Source organism: Homo sapiens, chromosome 1 (assembly GCF_000001405.40).
Source record: "Homo sapiens chromosome 1, GRCh38.p14 Primary Assembly".
Taxonomy (NCBI): Eukaryota; Metazoa; Chordata; class Mammalia; order Primates; family Hominidae; genus Homo; species Homo sapiens.
Genome location: NC_000001.11, coordinates 109,411,129 through 109,431,149, shown reverse-complemented (window position 1 = coordinate 109,431,149; position 20,021 = coordinate 109,411,129). Strand labels below are relative to the sequence as shown.

The window sequence follows — 20,021 nt, the reverse complement described above, 5'->3', positions numbered from 1 at the left end:
TTAGTTTCCTAGGGCTGCCATAACAAAATACCACAGACTGAGTGGCTTAAACAATAGAAATGTATTTCCTCACACTTCTGGAGGCTAGTAGTCCAAGATCAACGTGTCAGAAGGTCTGGCTTCTTCTGAACCTCTCTCCTTGGTTTGCAGATGGCCACCTTCTTGTTGTGTCTTCACGTGGCCGTTTCTCTTGTGTGCACCTGCCCCTGGTGTCTGTGTATCCAAATTCCCTCTTCTTATAAAACCATCAGTCAGGACTGGATTAGGGCCCACCCTAACAGCCTCATTGAACTTGAGCACTTCCTTAAAGGTCCTAGCTCCAGTCACATTCTGAGATACTGGGGGTTAAGGCTTTAACTTCTGAATTTGGGGCAAGACACAATTTAGCCCATAAAAACATGTAAGAGATCAATTGGCAGAAACATCTATGAAGGATAAAAGGGATGAGAGCAGGAGAAGGTGGGAGATGCTCCAGACTGTGATATAAGTCTGGCACCTATGAAGGAGAGAGAAAAGAAAGGATTGCACAGGCAGGGTCTCAGACTGCAGCGCAGTTCTAAGAAAATTTCAGCTAGGCTGATGGGGGCGTCTATAAGCCAAAGTTTCCCATTAGAGTAGTCCCAGATTATGCAGCAATGGGCCTGCATTAGTACTCTTGCCATGCTAAGTCACTGGCCAGAACTGTTCATTTTCTATTTCTTCAGGGGTTTGCAAGAATCAAAGCTAGCTAAACCTCTCTATATCCTTGAGTTAAAAACCTTTGTTATTTAAAAATACTCTACAAAGTGATTGAAGTAAAAAATGACACACAGGGAAGCAGCCAAATCTAAAATGTCTTTTTACATAAACAAATTGTAGTTACTAGAGATAAATGTGGATAAATGGATTTGGGGAATGTAATATTTAGAAAGAGCAAAGGGACCTAAATTTATTTGGAATCACTTTTTAAATTCTCCACATATTTTCTGCCTCACCCAGGAATGTCTGACACAAAGTACTCATATATGATGTTTGCTAACAAATGTGAGTATTTTCAACATTTATCGGGCTATTAACTTTACCAAACTACTTCATTTACTTCCAGTAGAATGACACAGCTTCCAATCTATAGTTGAAAAAGTATCTTTACTGCAATACAGTTTGTTTCATCTGTAAAATAATCATGGCAGCTTTCAATTAAGGATGATCTTCCTTTCTTTGCAAAAATGTGCAAAATAGTACCAAAATATTTGAGAACTCTCACTCTATGGGTGAACGCAGAACTTTTATTAATGTCTAAATAACTTACATTTCTCCAATGAGGAAGAGTCCGCATCTCTCAGTATATTTCACCTAAAAAGGTGTAGCCAACCAAACTTTTGTCTATTTTATTTAAAAAATTTAAAGAAATACAGTACTTAAAAACATTTTAAAGTGGCTATTTGAAATTCTGAATTTTCTACTTACTCTACTTCTCCAAGTCACACATATATTAATGTCTATGGAACTAGTATGCCTATAGCAATCAATCAATCAATCAATCCTTATCTGGAGGCCATTATCCTTAGCAAACTAATGTAGGAACAGAAACCAAATACCACATGTTCTCACTTACAAGTGAGAGCTCAATGATGAGAACACATGGACACACGGAGGGGAACAACACATACTGGGGCCTACTGGAGGGCGGAGGGTGGCAGGAGGGAGGGGATCAGGAGAAATGACTGGTGGATACTAGGCTTGATACCTGGGTGACGAAATGGTGTGTACAGCAGATCCCCATGGCACACGTTTACCTATATAACAAACCTGCACATCCTGCACATACACCCTGGACTTAAAATAAAAGTTAAAAAAATAAATACTTATTTACTAAACAAATGTATCTAGAGCATATGCCAGGTGCTAGGCTGAACAAGAGAGTACTGACCCTCAAAGAACTCACATTTCCATTATTTTCCTTTTTCCCCCCTTTAACTTAAAAAATTATTTCTGTTGTGGTAAAATATCCTAACATAAAACTTACCATTTTAACCATTTTTAAGTGTACAATTCAGTGACATTAAATACATTCACACTGTTGTGCAACCATCACTACAATCCATCTCCAGAACTTCATTATCATCCCAAACTGAAATGGTGTACCCATTAAACCCATTAACTCCTCATTCCCCTTTTCCTCCAGCCCTAGATAATCACTATTCTACTTTCTGTTTCTATGAATTTGACTATTCTAGGTACCGAACATAAGTAGAATCATACAATATTTGTCTTTCTGTGTCTTGAGATTTCGCCTAGCATAAGGTCTTCAAGTCTAATCCAAGTTGTAGCATGTATCAGAATTTCATTCCTTTTTAAAGGGTGAACAATATTCCTTTGTACGTACACACATTTTAACTTCAATTACTTTTAAATAGCTAATTTCTCATTTTATTTCTTTCAAAGACACATTATGCTAGCTGCTAGATTGTTACAATGCACTCTCTTGGGAGAAAAGATTTTCCTTCCTATCCACAATTACCTGCAGCTCCCCTTCATTTATGTTATATATAGCACAAACACATTTACCCAGAGGAGATTCTACATTCAAGAACATTTCGTAAGCAATTCACTACTGTCTCTGACATTGATAGGGTCTGCAGAGCACCATGGAACCCTGGGTGCTCAGGAAATATTATGCTAAAGTACCTACGTAGTAAAATAACTCCGTTTTTTTTGGTTTTTTTTTGAGATGGAGTCTCACTCTGTTGCTCAGGCTGGAGTGCAGTGGTGAGATCTTGGCTCACCGCAACCTCTGCCTCCCAGGTTCAAGCAACTCTCTGCCTCAGCCTTCCGAGTAGCTGGGATCACAGGCACCCAACATCACGCCCAGCTAATTTTTGTATTTTTAGTAGAGACAGGGTTTCACCATCTTGGCCAGGCTGGTCTTGAACTCCTGACCTCGTGATCCACCCACCTCGGCCTCCCAAAGTACTGGGATTACAGGCGTGAGCCCCTGTGCCTGGCCATAAAAGAACTTCTAAAGAGCAGCTGTAGTGAATTTACGACCAAGACTTTTCCATAGAAAATAACTGATAAGGTGAAAAAAAAAAAAAGCTTGTCAGAAAGCTGACAAGAAAGCTAAAAATTACCATTCTTTTCTCAGAAATCTAACAGATCCCAGAGGATTGCTACTTGGAGTTCTTCCTCAGTTTTATTAGTGCTAAACATCTGATTGGCCAGGGATGACCAAACTAAACTCCTACTGAATCCATGAAGGAAGTCAGAAAATAAAGGGTGGGGAAAACTAATCTTGGTTAATACTCAAAAGGCTTATTTTTACATTTCCTGCACCTTTGAAATGCCTTGGTGACTTACAAACCTAATCTAGGACCAAGAATGAACTTTACTGGAGAGATACAGGCCTTGAGAGGTTAAGGACTTGACTAGTGGTATCACATTAACAACTGGAAATGAGATGCTGGCATTTCCCTTTCCAGCATATACTGCCTGATAAATGATTTCTTTCCCCCGACTCCAGCTTTAAGGTGTAAGTGACAAATAGAAATTGTTCATGTTTATGGTATACAACGTGACGTTTTGATATACATATATATACACACACACACTGCAAATAATTAAATGAAGCTAATCAACATAATCCATCATCTCACATACTTTCCTGTGGTGAGAACATTTAAGGTGTACCCTCTTCACAATTTCAAGTACACAATATATGATTATTAACTATAGAACTCATCCACCTTCTCTGACTGAAACTTTGTATCATTTGACCAACATTTCCCTATATTCCCCACCCCCGTGCCAAGACTTCTTACTTGCCTTTCTTGAACAAATACTTGAATTACAGTGTTATTACGAAGCTGCAAAGTTGCTCCTCAAGCAACTTATTGAAGGGAAGCAAGAAGCGTCGAAAAAGAAAGCGCTTTTTTTTTTTTTTTTTTTTTCGGATAGGGTTTGGCTGTTGCCCAGGCTGGAGTGCAATAGCACGATCTGGGCTCAAAGAAAACACTTATTTTTCACAAACAACAGAAAAAGCAGTGAATATTTTGAAGTCTGGATCCTGAACTCTAGGTTATTTAGGTCTGAAACCTGTACTAGGGGGAGGGGTGCAAGAAAGAGTTGATAAAATTACCTTAACCATGTGGAAACTTTAAGACTTTCTTACATACTAACCCCTCGCCCCCCACTTTTCTCAATAAACGAGCCAAACTGGCTGAAACGAAGGGACTCGTCCGCGGCGCCGGCTCAGACCCACTGTAGCCGACTCATTACCGCCCAAAGTCCTGGAGCCCTCGACCGGGCATGGAGAACACCGTGGAGGAACCCTAAGAGAGGGAATCCTGCGAAGAGAAGTCAGGTGGTGGCCTTGCCGGAAACGGGACCAAAGTCCTCTAGCTGGGATTACGGGAGCCGGCGAGGGACCTATTATGTCAGGGTTCAGACAACCCAGCTCTGCATGCAAGCCTTTCCAATTGCCAGTCTTGGGGCGGGCTCACATCTTCTCTACAAGGCGAACTCACTACACGCCTTGGGTGCCTATCGTCCCTAGCAACCACCCGCGATTTAAGGCGGAAGTACCTCCCTGGTCCTCCTCCTCCTCCGGACCAACCAAGCCCTCGTGAGGAAGCGCGTTGGCCCAATCACCTAGGCGGGAACTACTACCAGCCAATAGGAAGCAGGCACAGGAGGGCGGGCTAAAGAGGTCGCGGTCGCACGCGCAGTTGGTCCTTAGTACTGCGGCCGTGTGGGTGAGTTGGCTGCCGGTGAGTTGGGTGCCGGTGGAGTCGTGTTGGTCCTCAGAATCCCCGCGTAGCCGCTGCCTCCTCCTACCCTCGCCATGTTTCTTACCCGGTCTGAGTACGACAGGTCCGTGCAGCTGGGGGACGTCGGGTGGGAATTATGGGTGGGCAGGCCCGGGACCTGGCCGCGCGGCCTGGGTTCTGCCGTGTCATGGGGCTCCCCAGGAACCCGAGACTGGCCGGACCTGGGGATGTTATGCCCTCCTCAGGCGCCCGCCGTCCTTCCCCAAGCTAGACCACATCGGCGGCACTTGTCCTACCGCTGAGTCACCCCTGGGTCCTAACTCGGTGCGGAAGCGAGAAGCTCCGGCTGGTGCTTGGTAAAGAAGGCGTGAGGAGCCGGAACTCCTACCTTGAACCCGGAGAAGGCCAAGGGTCACTCTTTGCTCCGTTCATCTTTTCGTGCCTAGTATGACTGCCTTGAACAAACAAACAAAAAGTTAAACGTGCTTCCTGGAAGAAAAAGCAACTGGTTTGTAGTAGGGCATGCTGCGGTGTATAGTTTCTTCAGAAGCGCGAAGGCAGTCGTAGCTTTGGCTGGATATATTGTCTGGAGTCTGATTTTATAGGAACTGGAATTTAGAATGGTTTTCAAGAGATTTCTCATCATGCCGATTCCAATTGACCAAAATTTTTTCTGACTTTTTAAAAGTTTAAAGCAAGTTTTAAAAAACTTTTGTGGTATGAAAATGTTCACAATATTAAGTTGTACATATATATGCTGTAGACATTTTTACTTTCAGTTTCTGTTTTCGTCAGTTAAGTTTTTACATAGCTACTCTTTTTTAAAGTCAGGGAAGGCAGACATTTTCTTTGTACTGAGTGGTATGAGATGCTGCATTTCCTGTCAAGTATATGCTGATCCTGTCGAAGTTTTACCACCTGCAGTTACCACTTTTTCATCTTTTTTACTGACTCGTAGAAGATGTGTGTGAAGTTTTGACATATTTCCCCACTGTCCTATAAAGTGACTTTGTTGGTCGATATTTAACTTCCAGAACATTGAAGAGAATCATCTTCGGGTGACATAATTTTGAGTTAGGGTGTGTATGATAGAAATTGTTATGCTTATCAGAAGGCATTTATTAAATTTTGTGGCCATTTACTTAACATATGTATTGACTGCTTTGTTACTTATTTTTCTGTCTTCCCAAGACGGCCTAAAATACATCCCTTTTTATTCTCTTAGTTAATGTGCTTGAGTGCTTGCTGTGAACAAGGCACTGTTCTAGGTGCTGGTGCTACAGCAATGGACAAAATCAAGCTCCTTGCTCGCATATAGGAGACTCTTTTGAGACAGTCTCGCTCTGTGGCCCAGGCTGGAGTGCAGTGACGTGATCTTGGCTCACTGCAACCTCCCCCTCCTGGGTTTTGTTTGTTTTTGAGACGGAGTCTCGCTCTGTCGCCAGGCTGCAGTGCAGTGGCATGATCTCGGCTCACTGCAACCTCCGCCTCCTGGGTTCAAGCGATTCTCCTGCCTCAGCCTCCCGAGTAGCTGGGACTACAGGCGCGCGCCACCACTCCCAGCTAATTTTTGTATTTTTAGTAGAGACAGGGTTTCACCATGTTGGCCAGGATGGTCTCGATCTTTTGACCTCGTGATCCACCTGCCTTGGCCTCCCAAAGTGCTGGGATTACAGGAGTGAGCCACCGCGCCTGGCCTGCCGCCTGGGTTTAAGCAATTCTCTGACTCAGCGTCCTGAGTAGCTGGGATTACAGGCGGTGCCACCACGCCCGGCTAATTTTTGTGTTTTTAGTAGAGACAGGGTTTCCTCATCTTGGCCAGGCTGGTCTTGAACTCCTGACCTCGTGGTCCACCTGCCTTGGCCTCCCAAAGTGCTGGGATTACAGGCGAGAGCCACCTCGCTCGGCCTGAGACTCTTAAAGAATTGTTTACAGGTACAGTGGCTCATGCCTGTAATTCCAGCACTTTGGAAGGCCGAGGCAGGATTGCCTGAGCTCAGGAGTTGGAGACCAGCCTGGGCAACATAGTGAGACCTCATCTCTACTAAACATTAAAAAATATCAGCCGGGTGTGGTGGCGCTGACCTTGTCTCCAAAAAAAAAAAAGAATTGTTTACAGAAGTAACTATAGTGTGAGTCAGAAATATATTAATGCCATTAGAGAAATTCAAATCAATACCATGGAAGTTTTGATGAGGGATTGCATTCAATATGAGACGATCATGGAAAACTTCACAAAGGAGCTGACATTTAAACTAGGTTTCTTGAAAGAGTAGGAATTTAATAAAGACAGTGAGATCAATAGTTGTGGGTTGGAGAATATGGGATAAATGAAGGAGGGGCAATGGAAAAGCACAATACATTTTGGGAAAAGTCCAGTCTGACTGGCACATATGATACGTGTATGGGAACAGCAGGAGATAATGGGAAAAACAGGATGCTGCTAGATATTGAATGGTTTTTAATACGAGGCTAAGGAGTTTGGGTCCTATTTCTGTAGGCAACTGTGTGCTGTTAAATAATAATTGTGTTTTACAGAGATTAATTGTCTGAATTAGGGGAAAGTGAGTCAATACCTGTTAGTGTTAGGCTATTAACAATAGTTAGGTGAAAGGTAATGAGGGCATTGAGAAGGAAGAGTGATGTGTTACTGTGGAGGAGGAATTGATATGAATTGGTATGACTTAGCATATAGTTGGATATGGGAAAAGATGGGGAGGAATGAGTCAGATCATTTAGAACTTCGTATGTTGGGAACACTGGAAGATTTGAGATGTTTTAAATTAAAACTGAAATTGGAATGGCAGGAGATGAAGTCAATTTTGCAAGGTGGCTGGATTTAAAGAGATAATATTTCAAACTGGAAAACGTTAAGTGTTAAGTGCTAATAGGATATGCAAGTGGAAATGTTCAGCAAACATTTAAATTAGTTAGGAAAGAGGTGAAACTGGTAGTAGAGATTTGGAAGTAACTTGTGCTTAGCACTCTCCCAGGCTGGAGTGTAGTGGCACCATCTCGGCTCACTGCAACCTCCGCCTCCTGGGTTCAAGTGATTCTCATGCCTTAGCCTCTCAAGTAGCTGGGATTACAGGCACCTGCCACCACGCCCAGCTAATTTATGTGTTTTTAGTAGAGACGGGGTTTCACCTTGTTGGCCAGCCTGGTCTCGAACTCCTGACCTCAGGTGATCCGCCTGCCTCATCCTCCCAACGTGCTGGGATTACAGGCGTGAGCCACCACGCCAGGCCAAAAGCACTACTATATGACATGTTACCTGTTGTAAAGTCTGGACTCCATAAACCACGGATTGCAACCATCTCATTCATTTGTTCACATATTTTTTGTGTCCATTGTGTGCTCAAAGCTTTTATAGCTGAGACCATGATTGGTGCCTCTTCTCCGTAGGGATTTCCAGCACACTTGAGCAAGGAAAGGTGGAAAGTGTTAAGTGTTAAGGGGAAGTGTTTAGAGAGGAAAGCAGTCTGACATGTAAGTTATATAAATATTGAGTGAATGAACTAGGTTAGAATTAGGAACTACATGGATCTCAGTCTGTTAAGATAACAATAGTAATTCATACAAATAAGTAGAGAAATGTACCTGTGACTAACTTTTAGTAAAAAGTAATAATTAGGCCCAGGCACAGTGGTTCATGCCTGTAATCCCAGCATTTTGGGAGGCCGAGGCGGGTGGATCACGAGGTCAGGAGTTCAAGACCAGCCTGGCCAATATGGTGAAACCCCATCTCTACTAAAAATACAAAAATTAGCCGGGCGTGGTGGCATGCACCTGTAGTCTTAGCTGCTGGGGAGGCTGAGGCAGGATAACTGCTTGAACCCAGGAGGCGGAGGTTACAGTGAGCTGAGATCGCACCCGCCTGAGCGACAGAGCGAGACTCTGTCTCAAAAAAAAAAAAAAAAAAGTAATAACTGTGTTTTATAGAGATTGTCTGAATTAGGGGGAAAACTCTTCCTACTTGCTCCACGAGTCAATACCTGTTAGGAGACTATTACAAACGTTAGGTGAAAGGTAATGAGGGCATTGAGAATGGAAAGAAGAGTGATAACCCCAAGTATTAACGTCATATGCATGTTATGGGAAGAGGATAAGGAAAAATGCACATTTTCTTGGAAATTGGCTGATAGTTTTGAGGCATGAACTTACCAAAGGAACTGGTAAGTCTATTCAGAATGGATCCAAGTTGATTCAGGATTGAGGCAGAAAAGTCATTTGCTCTCATTTCATCAATTTGGGAAGACTTTCTGGGAGTGAGGCAGAAGTGTTCTATATATAGGTTCCATTGCCTTGAGAAACTGTTAATGTACAAAAAAATGCTACAGATTGTTGTGGGCGAAGTAGAGAATAATGACAATGTGCGTATTCTGTAGCTATCTGAGCTAGTTGTCAAGGAACTTGAATTCAGTGTCTACATGGCTAGTTTTTATGAGTATAATTAATAATTTTTTTTTAAATTATAGGGGCGTGAATACTTTTTCTCCCGAAGGAAGATTATTTCAAGTGGAATATGCCATTGAGGCTATCAAGGTATAGTAGCAAGTAGCATAGGTCCTGAAATTTCATGGCTACCTAACATTTTGCTGGCAGAACACTTGGAGTAAATGTGGTTTAACCATTCCTTTAGAAAATGTTCTTATATCCCTTTAAGCAACCACTGTTAACCATTTTTATAACAGTTTCAATCCTATTCCTAATATCTATTTTAAAACTTTTTGAGCAGTTAACTGCTTCATAATTATCTAAATAGCTTTTTCTCAGTGGGGGTGGAGGGACATATTTGTGCTTTTGATCCTCTTAGCTATAAAGAGAGGTACAGAAGTCCAGAATTAGCACCTGTATTACTTTTTCTGTTTTGTTTTCTTTAGCAAATCATGTATCTGACCACCTTTGTATTCTTTCTTTTTCTTTCTTTTTTTTTTTTTTTGAGATGGAGTCTCTCTCAGTTGCCCAGGCTGGAGTTCAGTGGCGTGATCTCAGCTTACTGCAACCTCCGCCCCTCGGGTTCAAGTGATTTTCCTGCCTCAGCCTCCCAGTACCACCAGGCTGGTCTCGAACCCCTGACCTCAAATGATTCGCCCATCTCAGCCTCCCAAAGTGCTGGGATTACAGGCGTGAGCCACCACGCACAGCCCACCTTTGTGTTCTTGTTGGTAAAGTCACCTTAGGGACTAAATAAGAGATTTGTTTTAGTGGTTTTTTAGAGACAGGGTCTCACTCTGTCACCCATGCTGGAGTACAGTGACACCATCTTAGCTCACTGCAGCTTCTAACTCCTGGGCTCAAGCTTTCCTCCCACCTTAACCTCCCTAGCAGCTAGGGTACAGATGTGTGCACCATGCCTGGCTAATTTTTTTTTTTTTTTTTTTTTGGTAGAGATGTGGTCTTGCTATGTTGCCCAAGTTGGTCTCAAACTCCTGGGCTCAAGTGATCCTCCTGCCTCAGCCTCTCAAAGTGTTGGGATTTACAGGTGTGAGCCACCACACCTGGCGTGGACTGGATAATTCTTTGTTGTGGAGGGCCATCTTGTACATTTTAGCATGTTTATCAATTCCTGGGTACTACCCATTAGGTGCCAGTAGCACTCTTTCAGTTGTGACCATCAAAAATGTCTCCAGACTTTGCCAAATGTCTGGTGGGGACAAAAGGGCCCCCAATTGAGAATCACTCTTCTAGATAAAAAGTATATATGAATTCTGTCCTACTCTGTTCAGTTAGGGATTCAAGATCAGTATACTATACATAAAACAATTAGAGAACAACTAAGTGCTAAATTAAGTTTTCTGGCAATGGTTTCTGATTATATATTTGTTTGATTTTTAAGGTATACATGCATGTAGTTTCAGAGTTAGAAGGCAAAGTAGTTCTATAAACCTTGTAACAAAAATAGCAATTCTTGAGGCCTGCATCATCTAGGTTCAGCTTTTCAGAGGCAACACTTTAAATTGTTTCAGCTGGTAATGTTCTAGGACTGTACCTCCATATCTCTATAACACAGATGTATGGTTTTTTTTTATTAGGCATTATCCATGGACTTTTCATTATGAAAGATGAAGATTTCTGCCCTAACCCCACACCCCTACTCCCCACCACACACAATTGTCTTCTGAGGTGGGGATAGGGTGACCCTCTCCATATATATCATGAATATCATAATTTTGTAAGATCATTAGTCAATAGTTACATTAGTATAACTAAATGCTTTTCACAGCTGAGCCATTTTGCATTTTATAATTATTTTTCTGTTTCTGCACAACATTGTTTTTCTTGGAGTTAATAATTCTCTTTTTAAAAATATTTGCTTAATTTAGGATGATCAATAATGCATTCCAAAGTCTCTCCAGGTTACATGTATCCTCTCAAAACATTCAGGCAAATTAAGTGTCCTATTAAGGATTCCTTTTTTTTTTTTTTTTTGAGACAGAGTCTTGCTCTGTCACCCAGGCTAGAATGCAGTGGCGCATCTCAGGTCACTGCAGCCTCAACCTACCAGGCTCAAGTGATCCTCCCGCCTCAGCCCCCAAAGTAGCCGGGACTACAGCTATGCACAACCATGCGCGGCTTGTTTTTTTTTTTTTTTTTTTTTTTTTTGAGACGGAGTCTCACTCTCTCACCCAGGCTGGAGTGCAGTGGCGCTATCTCAGCCCACTGCAACCTCTGCCTCCCAGGTTCAAGCAATTCTCCTGCCTCAGCCTCCTGAATAGCTGGGATTACAGGCGCGTGCCACCACACCTAATTTTTGTATTTTTAGTAGAGATGGTGTTTCACCATATCGGTCAGGCTGGTCTCGAACTCCTGACCCTGTGATCCACCTGCCTCTGCCTCCCAGAGTGCTGGGATTACAGATGTGAGCCACCGCGCCTGGCCTAAGTTTTTGTATTTTTTGTAGAGACGGGGTTTCGCTGTGTTGCACAGGCTGGTCTCGAGCTCCTGAGCTCAAGTGATCCGCCCACCTAGGCCTCCCAAAGTGTTGGAATTACAGGTATGAGCCACAGTGCCCTATTAAGGATTCTTAATGAAATCTTGGAGCCTTCTAATCTGCTCCAGTCTGGACTGGTTGTTCTCTGGGCCTCCTGTGTACCTGTGGACTTCATTTTCTGTGAGATCATTCTAGGCATTCCCTTTAACTCCCTCTTGTGTAAGGCCCCATGTCATCTTTTTTGATTTATTTGCTCAATTTGGTAGAACCCATTTTCCAGTAGTATTGTAGAAACTATTTATTTATTTATTTATTTTGAGGTGGAGTTTTGCTCTTGTTGCCCAGGCTGGAGTGCAATGGCGTGATCTCGGCTCACTGCAACCTCCGCCTCCCGTGTTCAAGCGATTCTCCTGCCTCAGCCTCCTGAGTAGCTGGGATTACAGGCATGCGCCACCACGCTGGCTAATTTTGCATTTTTAGTAGAGACGGGGTTTGTCCATGTTGGTCAGGCTAGTCTTGAGCTCCTGACCTCAGGTGATCTGCCCGCCTCACCCTCCCAAATTGCTGGGATTATAGGCATGAGCCACCGTGTTTGGCCAGAAATAATTTTTAATTTTCAACTTCTTTTGTTTCTTTTCTTCTTATTAGCATCCCGTTCTTGTTTTATGGATGAAATGTCTTGTTTTTCTTCAACAATTTTCTAATTTTTCTTGAAAATTTTTTTCCTTGTGGACATTGTTGCTCATCCCTATAATCTCAGTACTTTGGGAGGCTGAGGGAGGAGAATCACTTGAGCCTAGGAGTTCAAGACTAGCCTGGGCAACATAGCCCGTGTCTAGAAAAAATTTAAAAAATTAGGCTGGGCAAGGCTCACACCTGTAATCCTAGCACTTTGGGACGCTGAGGCAGGAGGACTGCTTGAGTCTAGAAGTTCAAGACCAGCCTGAGCAACATAGTGAGACTTTGTCTTCACAAAAAATTTAAAAAATTAGTTGAGTGTAGTAGTGTACACCTGTAGTCTTAGCTATTTTGCAGGCTTAGGTGGGAAGATCTCGTGAGCCTGGGAGGTTGGGGCTCCATGAGACGTGATTGTGCCACTGCACTCCATCGTGGGCAACAGAGTGAGACCCTGTCTAAAATATTTTTTTTTCCTTTTGAACTGGTCAGATTGTTTAGAGCTATGTTTTTCAAACTGCAGGTCTAGACCTATTAGGAGATAATAAAATAAATTTAGTGGTCATGAGGAGCATTTCTTTTGAGACAGAATGTCACTCTGTCACCTAGACTGGAGTGCAGTGGTACGATCACAGCTCACTGCAGCCTCAACCTCCCAGGCTCAAGTGATCCTCCCACCTCAGCCCCCAGCTACAGGCACATGCCACCACACCCAGTTATTTTTTTTTATTTTTTGTGGAGGTAAAGTTTTGCCATGTTGCCCAGGCTGGTCTCAAACTCCTGGGCTCAAGTGATCTTCCTGCCTCAGCCTCCCAAAGTGTTGTGATTATAGGCATGAGCCACCACTCCTGGCCCACATTTCTTTTTTAAGTGAAACAGAGCAGTAGATATCAAAATGCCTTGCCCATAGTAGTGATGAGTGGTTTTTTTCCTGAAATTTTGTTTCTGTTATGTATTTATATTTATTTGTGGGTTTTAGTTATGAAATCAAATGTATTCCTTACTGTGGCTTTTGGTCAAAAAGTTTGAAAAACATTGCTCAGGAGAAAACTGCCTCTTCTCATTTCATTCCGGGAGGGTATTTCTGGCTGCTGGCTTCTGAGAGCTGAGTAGGGAAAGAAGGCTGAGGTTCTTAACATTTGGTTTGGAAATTTTTACATATTTATCCCGTTTTCAGTACATTATTCCTGCCTTAGACTGTGCTTGGTGTCCCCAATCCAAAGACGCTCTATTTTACGGTCTCCAGAGAATAAGCCTGGAGTCTTCCACGGGAGTGGGGGAGGTGCAGTCGTCTAGCTTTACAGCATAGGGGAGGGGATCCGGGAATCTGTTTCTTAAACATTGAACCACCTTGCAATTTTTAGCTCCTTGTTCATTTCCATTTCCAGAGGTCCTTGTTGCCACCATTTCCTTTTTTGAGGTCCTGTGATAAAAATCAGGTTGTTTCTTTACTTTCTTTACGGCTGGTTTAGGATTTGGATTACCCAGGTATCACTAACCTATCTTCTTTTTAGCTTCAAAGTTTTGTTGCTGTGTCTTCTCCCACTCTCTGTTATAGTGGATTTATGCCTTTTTAGAAGTCCTTTAATCTTACATCAATAGACTTAAGGAAGGCGTGGAACTAATGTTATGTCTTTAGTCTGCACCTTTAACTAGAAATATGAGCATTCATTTTTATTTATTTATTTTTTGAGATGGGGTCTCACTCTGTTGTCCAGGCTGGAATGCAATGGCGTGATCTTGGCTCACTACAACCTCTGCCTCCCGGGCTCAAGCAGTCCTACCGTTTCAGCCTTCCGCGTAGCTGGGAGTACAGGCATACGCCACCAAGCCTGGCTAATTATTGTATTTTTTATAGAAACAGGGTTTCACCATGTTGCCCAGGCTGGTCTTGAACTCCTGGACTCATGCAATCTGCCCACCTCAGCCTCCCAAAGTGCTGGGATTACAGGCATGAGCCACCATGCCCAACCTGAGTACTCATTTTTTTACATAAAATTTTTTGACAGTTCATCTCCTGTAGTTATGCAGGTATCCACTGATTAAGAAAATACATGACAAAAAGCTGGTGTACATTTAATAACACTTCTAAATAAAGTCACAACTCAACACATTTGAAAAATAATATATATGCGTGTGAAATGATCATTCAGTCTGCAGACATGTTAAGCAAGTTATACATAAAGATTCGTGGGATTCTTTGGAACTCTTTGCAGTGCTCACACTTGGCAGTGATTACTTTGTAGAAATAACTAAATATAATGGAATTCAAAGCAGAAAGCATAGTCATGGAAGGCTTTGATGAGTGGAATTTGGATTGGGGGAAGGAAGAATGTATTCCAGGGGAGACAGCATGAGCAGAGGGGTGCAAGGGTAGGAGATAACGTGGCTTGAGCCAGTGGGCTGGGCTATACCTGAGGGATTTTGTTGGAGAATAACGAGTAGTGAAGTTGGAAGGGAAAAGTGGCATCAGGATATGAAGGCTCTGGAAGTTTATTTGGATATATTATAGGCAGTATAGGGTGATGTTAATTCTTGAGAGAAGAAATATAATGATAATAGCATTTTATTAGATCAGTCAGGTTATAACATTAGAGATACATTGAGAGAGATTAAAGATGAGAGAGGCTATTGAAGTATCTAGGCATGGAATATGAATAACATTTGTTCATATTTGGCAGGCACCATTTTAAGCATTTTATAATATATAATGTGTTTACCCTTCTTATTATTATTGTCATCCTCATTTTGCAGGAAATGGGCATAGAGGAGTAGATGACTGGGAGTTACGTAGAGATAGAGATGAATTCCAGGTATATTGTGGACTTCTAGCGACCTTAAATAATTAATAGTTTTACGTTGTTGGTGGTGATGATGGTGGTGGTTCTTTTCGTCCCTCCCTACCTTCCTTTATTACTTTTTTGGAGGTCAGGTAGGTTGGGGAATATCATCACCTCTTGGGACAGACCAAGGTAGATGGCAGAGGTGAAAAGAGGCCAGGTCCAGAGAAGACATTAAGAGTTTTATTACTTTCTTGCCCACTATGTTTAGAACTTTTGAATCCTCCGTCCTCCAAATATTGGCATTAGAGAGTGGATTTTTCCAGTGTTTGAAAGACTTTGTTGAACTTACTCTTTTGGGGTTCTGGGAATTACATGGGTAAATTATAAAGAAAACATTAAAAATTTTAAAAAAATTTAAGGGAGAAAAAAGAACTTTTTAGAATCACAAAATTCTGTAAATCAATGTTCTTGCTATTGACAGGAATAGTATATTAATTACTTACAGTATGTTAGGGTGCTCCTTCTCTCTGCCTATAAGATGTGGCCAGTTGAAGTTTCTATCATGTGAAGATTTACAGAGAGCTATCTGGTGAGTATGTAAGACAGTTATTTGACCTATATATGGTAATCATAACATGTTTCTCTTTAGCTTGGTTCTACAGCCATTGGGATCCAGACATCAGAGGGTGTGTGCCTAGCTGTGGAGAAGAGAATTACTTCCCCACTGATGGAGCCCAGCAGCATTGAGAAAATTGTAGAGATTGATGCTCACATAGGTAAGGAGTGGAGGAAAGCTGTTCTGTAGGATCTGGTCTGGGTTAATTAGTCCTCTATGATGTTCCAAGGAAGGTTTATGAAATGAACACGTTATCCCCTTGTTAGCTATTATTTTCCAGGCAGTAGGCCAGAATGCGTAAATGTAGGAGTAGGAGGCTGTTGCAGGACTCATTTATGTTTAACCTACTCCCATAAGTTCCTTTCCCCTCAAATTTAGACTTGGTAAATGTGATGGTTGTTGAAATATGCAAAGGTTGAGATCTTTGAAGTGACTACAAGTTATAAGAATAATATAGACTTGCCTAGATCAGTCTTCCTCCTTTGTTTTCAGATTATCTTTGTATTCCTTGTTGCCTCTGCCCACTTTTTTGGTCTTTAATTCCCCTGCCTTGGCTTCTGACATCATTGTATAATAGTATTACAGGGTGAGTAATTCTACTTATTTATAGAATGGCATTTTATTTGGCTATCCAAATTTTCTTAACCTGTCTAGTCATCTAATTAATGAAGCATTGGCAAAATAATTAATTGCTTGAAGGCATCAGAACCAAATGCCATGGTGACTCTGGGAGCTTGATATTATGTCTTTCATAGATATAGAAACTGAAATTTTATCTTTTAAGATTGGAACATTGTGTCTTCTTTAACTCAAGTCACTTGGTCTTTTGAAGGTAGCTCAGTGTCACTGTGTTCAACAAATTGAGAGCCTACAATGTGCCAGACCTTATGCTAGATACCAGGATATAGAAAGGAATAAGACATAGTCCTTGTTTTACAGGAGCATACAGTCTAATTGTGGTGGTGGACATGTAAGTAAGTCAATGCAATTAAGTGACAAAAGTATTAAGAAAGACTAGTGTGTTCTTAGTAGGAGTACAAGGGAAGAAATAATTAGTTTTGCCTGGAGTCAGCGGTAGTGGGGCTTTCAGAAAAGGATTCCATGAAAGTGATTTTGAGCTGAGTTTAATTCTGAAAGATAAGGAAGTGTACACAAGGCAAACAAGTGTCTGGGTATAGCAAGGGAGAGCATTCTAGTCAGGGGGAATAGAAATGACTGAAGCCATCGTGGTGTAAAATATAAAATACCATGTCACAAGCAGTTTTGTAGGCCTGGGCCATGAACTGCAGCAGCAGAGTCGGTCAGAGAGCGGAATTCCTTTTTTACCACACTGAAGGGCTTCAATGTAATCCTTTTGCAAGGATGGGAAAGGTTTTAAGCAATGAGGTAATAGGATCCCATTATAATTTTAGAAAGGCCATTCTGATAATGATATTAAAGATAGACTAAAGAGGGCTGAAACTGGAGGCACGGAGGCCAGTTGAAAAATTTGTAATAGTCCAAACAAAGAGATGGTGAAGGTTTTAACCAACACAGTAGCCAGAGAATGGAGAGGAAGATAGAAATTGACAGAACTTGTGATCTGATTGATTGTGAGGGCCAAGGAAGAAGACGGGGTCTGGAAGGGAAATGAGTGTGTGATATGTCCAAGTAGATATATTAAGGAAGTTATTTGGCTTTATATGTCTGAAACTTGGGAGAGAAACTTAGGCTGGAGATTTAGATTTGAGCCATGGCATGTACAATAACAGTTATAGCCATAATCGTGACAGCTTGGGCCATCAGGCAAACTCTCTCTGATATAACTAGTTGCTTTGTGTTTGGGACAGAGAGGCAAAAGGCTTTTGATTTATTCGAGAGTCCTCCACTGTAGTCCATAGTGAGGTGATTTTCTTTTCCTTGTTTCCCAGGTTGGGGCATTAGTATTTGCTTCGTTTGAAAATGTATCATCGTCTACAAAGAGTGCTAAAGGGATGCTTAGGGATGTAATATGTGGAAATTCATGTTTGGTTAGCTGCTTTTCTCTGGGCTTATTTTTATCGTCTGGACTTCTGTGTCATTGTGGATGGTTTTTTGTTTCTAATATCATTAATACTTGGGTTCAGTGCAGATCATTTCCTATCTAATCTTTTGGGTATAAAATGCCATGGGATAGCTGAATGGCTGCCGTGGTTCCAATCCAGAATTTCAGGATTTCCTGAGTGGATGAAAGAGTTTTACAAGGATTTGGCCACTGGGTCACTGTCGCTTTTACATTGCAGGTTGTGCCATGAGTGGGCTAATTGCTGATGCTAAGACTTTAATTGATAAAGCCAGAGTGGAGACACAGGTAAAATTGGCATTATCTCCTTTTTACCAGGATGCTTGAGTTCCTTGTTTAGTGATTATCTAGCTGCCTGGGCTATACTGCAGGTACCTGTGTCAATATTAGATGTGGCTCTTGGGAGTAATTTTGGGTAGAATTCCCAGTTAGAACTTCCTGGGGCTTGGAGTTTAGCTGTCCAATCATTGCAGTTTTAAAGAGGCTCTGGTCAGTAGTGCTGACAGTGTCTTCCTTTTTTTTTTGGCTTTGCCTATATATAAAGCATGCATTGTTTCCTAATTGACTTTGTGTGGGAGCATCATGGCAGGAGGTGGACGTAGTTAAAGGATATTCTCCCCTCAGCTGCCTTTGCTGCCAGGCTTGTAAATAACAGCCCGCCTTTGGTGAGTAATAACTTGTACCAACTGACAAATACTGGTCAGGGATACTGTTTTTTTTTTTTTTAAACTTTGTAGCTGCTGCTTGAAGATAGGCTAGTAAGAAAAATACATCACATGGTAAAATTTTTTGTACTTATTTGCAAGTTTGCTGTCTGTACTTATGTAAGAATAAGTCATTTGAACATCAACAGAATAAGCTAGAGTCTTTGAGGGAAAGAGGCACTTTTAGTTTTTGAAAGAGTAAACTTGGTGCTTTGAGGCATAACCCTCTTTTTCAAGGCAGTAATTCTCTTGTCCGTCGTTGCGTAGAGTCCTTGTGATATGTTTATTTCCAGAGCTATTTCTCTTCCTCTCATGTACTCCCAAGTACTCAGGGTTAATGTTAATTAAGAAAACCACATTTGAGCCTTCAGTTTTCAATCCCAGTTTAAAGGGATGTGCGTAGTGAGATGGTGGGCTGCTTTAATGTCCTTATTAGAAGGTTGTACCATGCTTTGCTCTTCTTCTAGAACCACTGGTTCACCTACAATGAGACAATGACAGTGGAGAGTGTGACCCAAGCTGTGTCCAATCTGGCTTTGCAGTTTGGAGAAGAAGATGCAGATCCAGGTGCCATGGTGAGTGTGATACTTCTGTCGAGTTTTCTTATTGTTCTATGGGACTTAGGACATTTGTCCTGTGAACATAACATTCCCAGCCCCTCTCACCTCCTTACTTTATAGCCATTTATCTTAATATCTCTTATTTTTTGGTTCTAGTCTCGTCCCTTTGGAGTAGCATTATTATTTGGAGGAGTTGATGAGAAAGGACCCCAGCTGTAAGTACCATTTTGTAATTTTCCCCCATGCTTTTGCAGGGAATTATTTTAATTTGGGGTGGAGACTGAGAAGATTATTGTAGACTGTTAGCCAGGTATTAGCACACACCTGTAGTCCCAGCTACTTGAAGGCTAAGGCAGGAGGATCTCTTGAGCCTGGGAGTTGTTATCCAGGCTGTAGTGAGCTATGATCATGCCACTGCACTCCAGCCTGGATAACAGAGCCAGACCCCATCTCTTTAAAAAATACATTAAAAAAAGATTATTGTAAAAAGGGCTATTGTAGAGTGTGTGTGTGTGTATGTATATACATATATATGGCTTCTAATACTAAAGTTTAGTGATTCTATACCGTTTGCACAAATTTGGGGATTCCATGAAGAATTCCCCTATTGGAACCAGTGCTAATTCTGGAAGGAATTAGAAGTAACTTGTTACTATAGTCAGGGTATGTTTTAGAACTTTGCTCTGGAATGTTGATCTGATCCTCATCCTCAAATATTTCTAAGATAGGCATAAACAAGTACCATATTTATACATACTATACTTCTAAATCCCTAAGGAAGGTACTAATTTTCTTAAACAGTTTTTAAAATGTCTGGTTTCTCCAGACATAGAACATCTTTTAGATCTGTGCCTCAATATTTCAGTGGTGTTTCCTGGCTGCAGGGCCAAGCATTTATACTTTGTTTTAGTGAGACGTTTGTTACATAAAGTGCCACCACTCCTGAGCATTTTAGTCCTCATT

The 20,021-nt window shown here is 41.7% G+C and overlaps 1 protein-coding gene across 4 annotated transcripts in view, besides 2 other annotated features; it reads left to right on the top strand.

Annotated features, from left to right (window-relative positions):
- Nucleotides 3,708-4,639: an enhancer, noted in NCBI's record as "H3K27ac hESC enhancer chr1:109969133-109970064 (GRCh37/hg19 assembly coordinates)". NCBI's record gives its function as "activates a minimal SCP1, AML or CMV promoter by ChIP-STARR-seq in primed H9 embryonic stem cells {active_cell/tissue: H9 hESC(primed)}" and the evidence as "EXISTENCE:reporter gene assay evidence [ECO:0000049][PMID:30033119]".
- Nucleotides 4,142-4,201: an enhancer, noted in NCBI's record as "active region_1440". NCBI's record gives its function as "activates an Ori minimal core promoter by ATAC-STARR-seq in GM12878 lymphoblastoid cells {active_cell/tissue: GM12878}" and the evidence as "EXISTENCE:reporter gene assay evidence [ECO:0000049][PMID:35858748]".
- PSMA5 (proteasome 20S subunit alpha 5) overlaps nt 4,702-20,021 on the top strand; it is a 27,407-nt gene continuing 12,087 nt past the window's right edge. Inside the window, exons 1-6 of one of the 4 annotated variants that reach the window (NM_001199774.2) lie at nt 4,702-4,730; nt 9,224-9,290; nt 15,787-15,913; nt 18,015-18,082; nt 18,966-19,073; nt 19,215-19,273. In NM_001199774.2, the coding sequence (NP_001186703.1) occupies nt 15,865-15,913; nt 18,015-18,082; nt 18,966-19,073; nt 19,215-19,273 (284 nt within the window). In that variant the 5' untranslated portion in view covers nt 4,702-4,730; nt 9,224-9,290; nt 15,787-15,864. Of the gene's footprint in view, nt 4,849-9,223; nt 9,291-15,786; nt 15,914-18,014; nt 18,083-18,965; nt 19,074-19,214; nt 19,274-20,021 lie in introns of all 4 variants that reach the window. The other 3 variants (NM_001199773.2, NM_002790.4, NM_001199772.2) reach the window with 3 other exon arrangements.